Below are 4,500 nucleotides of genomic sequence, written 5' to 3' on the forward strand. Positions count from 1 at the left end.
TTCCTTATTTCTAGGCATCACAAGATGTTCCAAGCAACTTGTTTACTTCCCATCCTCATCCTGTACTTTACTTGCCCTTGTCCCAACATCAACCATTTCTCCAGGAACTCTGGTTCCTTTGATTAGAGAATGGTTATTTAGAAACAAAGATTCTGGCATTAGGTGTAGCTCGTTGCTACTAGCAGCCCCTGGACTTTAAATACAATCCAGCTGCAACTCCTAAATTGCTATCACCAGCCCTGTCCTGATTCCAGAAATCTACACTCTGCTTCTAGTTTATTATTTTTTTCTTTTCTTTCTTTCTTTTTTTTTTTTTTTTGAGACATAATCTTGCTCTGTCACCCAGGCTAGAGTGCAATGGCGCGATCTCGGCTCACTGTAACCTCCACCTCCCGGGTTCAAGCAATTCTCCTGTCTCAGCCTCCCAAGTAGCTGGGATTACAGACGCCCGCTACCACGTCCAGCTAATTTTTTGTATTTTTAGTAGAGATGGAGTTTTGCCATGTTGGCCAGGCTAGTCTCAAACTCTTGACCTTAGGTGATCCGCCTGCCTCAGCTTCCCAAAGTACTGGGATTACAGGCGTGAGCCACCGCCCCCAGCCAACTGATTCTAGTTTCTTGCCTGTTGTTTCTTCATGGATATCTGAAGCACCTTAAACAGAACCCTTCGTACCCAGCAGTAACTGCCCCTTTCCCGATCGTCCCTGTCCTGTTGACTCTACTTCCAATACATGTATCTGTCTACTTATCTCCATCTCCACTCCTACCACCCAGGGCCAGCCCATCACGACTTCCCACCTGGAATAAATGCAGGATAACCTCCTAATGGCTGCAGCAGTTTCCCAGTTTCTTCTTTTCCTTCCAAAATCCATTCTCTTTAAGCAGCCATCTTGCCACCCCTACACTTAAATTCTTTCATTATCTTCCTGTCACACTTAAATAAAACCCAGTTTCCTTGTCCTGCTTTTTTATTTGTTATTTTATTTATTTATTTATTTATTTTTGAGACGGAGTCTCGCTCTGTCGCCCAGGCTGGAGTGCAGTAGTGCGATCTCGGCTCACTGCAAGCTCCACCTCCCAGGTTCACGCCATTCTCCTGCCTCAGCCTCCCGAGTAGCTAGGACTACAGGTGCCCACCACCATGCCCGGCTAATTTTTTGTATTTTTAGTAGAGACGGGGTTTCACCACATTAGCCAGAATGGTCTCGATCTCCTGACCTTGTGATCTGCCCGCCTCGGCCTCCCAAAGTGCTGGGATTGCAGGTGTGAGCCACCACGCCTTGCCCTTGTCCTGCTTTTTAAAACCGGACTGCGCTGTTCCTTGCCTGCTTCTCTGAACTCACTGTTTCCAGACCTATTGCCTGCTTCCTTCAGAGCCTTTGCACTGGCTATTCTCTGCTTGAAACACTCTTCCCTCTTTTTTTAAAAAGCTGCCTCATGCTTGTCACTTAATCTCAGTTTAAATGTTACCTCCTCAAAGTGGAGCCTTTCCAGATTGTGTAAAGAAACCATCTGGAAACTCAATGTGACAGTCGAGTGTGGTGGTTCACACCTGTAATCCCAGCACTTTGGGAGGCTGAGGTAGGTGGATCACTTGAGGCCAGGAGTTCGAGACCAGCCTGACCAACATGGTGAAACCCTGTCTCTACTAAAAATACAAAAATTAGCTGGGCATGGTGGCGGGTGCCTGTAATCCCAGCCACTCGGGAGGCTGAAGCAGGAGAATCACTTGAACCCAGGCGGCAGAGGTTGCAGTGAGCTGAGATCACACCACCTACTCCAGCCTGGGCGACAAAGCGAGACTCTGTCTCAAAACAAACAAACAAAAACTCTATCTGACATCACCTTGATTGTCAGCATCTCACCACCAGCCATCCTCCCTCCCTCCCTCCCTTTCATCCTATCTCGTTACCTCCCTTCCATCCTCCCTCCCTCCCTCTCTCATTCCCTCCCTCCCTCCCTTCCATCCTCCCTCCCTCTCTCGTTCCCTCTCTCCCTCCCTCCCTCTCTCTTTCCCTCTCCCTCCCTCCCTCCCATCCTCTCTCCCTCCCTTACTCCCTTCCTTCCTCCCTCCCTCCCTTCCATCCTCCCTCCCTCCTTCTCTCGTTCCCTCTCTCCCTCCCTTCCTTCCTTTTCCATGTGTGCTCCTTCATTTGTTGAGGGTCTCCCTCCTGCTTCAATGTAGGCTTTATAAGAGTAGGGCTTTGGGCCGGGCGTGGTGGCTCACGCCTGTAATCCCAGCACTTTGGGAGGCTGAGGTGGGTGGATCACCTAAGGTCAGGAGTTCGAGACAAGCCTGACCAACATGGAGAAACCCCGTCTCTAATAAAAATACAAAATTAGCCAGGCATGGTGGTGCATGCCTGTAATCCCAGCTACTCGGGAGGCTGAGGCAGGAGAATTGCTTGAACCTGGAGGCGGAGGTTATGGTGAGCCGAGATCGTGCCGTTGCGCTCTGGCCTGGGCAATAAGAGCAAAACTCCATCTCAAAAAATAAAAAATGAAAATAAAAAAAAGAGTAGGTCTATGACTGTCTTAATCACCACTTTATATTCAGGGCCTAGAACAATACTTGGTACATAGTCGATGCTCAGTAAATATGTTTTGAATCAATGAGTAAATGGACAAATAAATGAACTTTAAGCCATTTGCCTTAAAACTCTATGAAAGTCAGTGCAGCTTATTGGACTGAGTGAGGAAATAAAGCTAAAGGACAACCAAAATATTTCCTGCAGAGCTGGCTCCAACAACTGAGCTGTGGGGAAGTGCGTCCACAAAATCAATGACACAATGTCAGGGACTTGCACAATTCAGAGCCAGGGGTCACAGGCCTCAGACTTGGGGTCTGAGCCTTTCTTCAAGTCGTCTGGTCAACTAGGCCTCTTGGCCAGGGCTCAGTGATCTCTCTTCTACTGCTACACTTAGTTTATCACAAGGGATTCTGTTCTGCTTGGTCATTCTTTCCTTCAGAAACATGTACTTGGAGCCTCCTTTGTATAAAGTGCTGGGCTGTATGTGGTGAGAAATAGAGATGAAATAGTTATGGGGGAGATGCCTGATTCAAAGATCTTCCAATACAATAGGGAGAGGTAATATGTAAATAAGCATCTACTATAGGTAGAAAAATAAGACCTATAAGAGATAAAATCAAGTGCAGGCCAGGCGCGGTGGCTCACGCCTGTAATCCCTGCACCTTTGGAGGCCGAGGCAGGTGGATCACCTGAGGTCTGGAGTTCAAGACCAGCCTGGCCAACATGGTGAAACCCCATCTCGACAAAAATACAAAAATTAGCCGGGCATGATGGCAGATGCCTGTAATCCCAGCTACTCGGGAGGCTGAGGAGGCAGGAGAATCGCTTGAACCTGGGAGGTGGAGGTTGCAGTGAGTCGAGATCGCGCCATTGCTCTACAGCCTGGGCGAAAGAGCGAGACTCCATCTCAAAAAAAAAAAAAAAAAAAAACAAATGCAATGGGAATTCAAGCAGAGGGGAGATTTTCTGCTGTTGAGGAGCTCCCAGAAAGCTTTTATGGAGGAGGTGGTGTTCACCTTGCCCCATAACAATTCATACATAAAGAATATTTAGTTAGTTTCATTTGGCCTGAAAGAATTCAGGTACCTGTGTGCCTCACGCTTCTGGGGCTGGAGATCAGTAATCACTTCACTGGATAAATTTCCTCCAGTTTGGTATGTAAAAATTGAGACACATACTTTCTATAAAAACTGTCAAAGTACAGCTGAATTTGAAAAAATATGCTGTGTAATAATGTGCTTGGAACAGAATAGGTGTTCATTTCAAGCAGCATGAACGCTGTGCTCACCTGTTATGTGTAAGTGGCAGCTGAAACATGTACCAGATTATAACTCTGCCACCAGCCAGGTGCAGCTGTAGCATCTTACATTGTCATCAGGATTCTTCCACATTTTAGGATCCACGTTTTGGGAGTGAGAGTTACTGTTTGCCAAAAATGACCTCCCAAGCCCAAATGAAGAGGACCTACTAGCGCAGCAGTCAGCGAGAAAGAATTGGGAGATGCCTGTCACTGGCAGAGAGAGCCTTCCTTATGTGGTCAGGACCATGGAAAGCCCAAAGCCAAGGGACCTGGGAAGTCAGCCAAGGACGCTTGCCTGGGTGTCTCCTGGCTGGTTTCTCTGTGCTGTGGAGCCACCTATGTTTAGAACCTCTTGCCGCGCTCCCTCTGCTGAGCTTATATTTATGCTAGATCAAATGTTTAAACTGCTTTTCTCTTTGTGGATCACAAATTTTAGAACAGAAAATGCGGGTTCCGGAGGGTGTGAGAGACAGGGACAACCATATGTATTGCTTCAGTAGATGCTTCAGAGAAAGAAGACACTTAGTTCTCTAGTTGTTCACCCAACCCAATACGGTTTCTGCTCCTTAAGCTACATTCCTATAAAGATTAGCTTTCAGCTGCTACCACCAAGAAACAGTTCAAGTGCTGCTTATGTTGTATTTTAACTAAAGATCTCAAGAACAAAAA

At 47.0% G+C, this 4,500-nt stretch overlaps 1 annotated feature.

Moving 5' to 3' along the window:
* Positions 3,935-4,229: a silencer, noted in NCBI's record as "tiled region #9359; HepG2 Repressive non-DNase unmatched - State 13:Ctcf, and K562 Repressive DNase unmatched - State 12:CtcfO". NCBI's record gives its function as "represses a minimal TATA promoter and a strong SV40 promoter by Sharpr-MPRA in HepG2 and K562 cells {active_cell/tissue: HepG2 | K562}" and the evidence as "EXISTENCE:reporter gene assay evidence [ECO:0000049][PMID:27701403]".

Source organism: Homo sapiens, chromosome 17 (assembly GCF_000001405.40).
Source record: "Homo sapiens chromosome 17, GRCh38.p14 Primary Assembly".
NCBI lineage: Eukaryota > Metazoa > Chordata > Mammalia > Primates > Hominidae > Homo > Homo sapiens.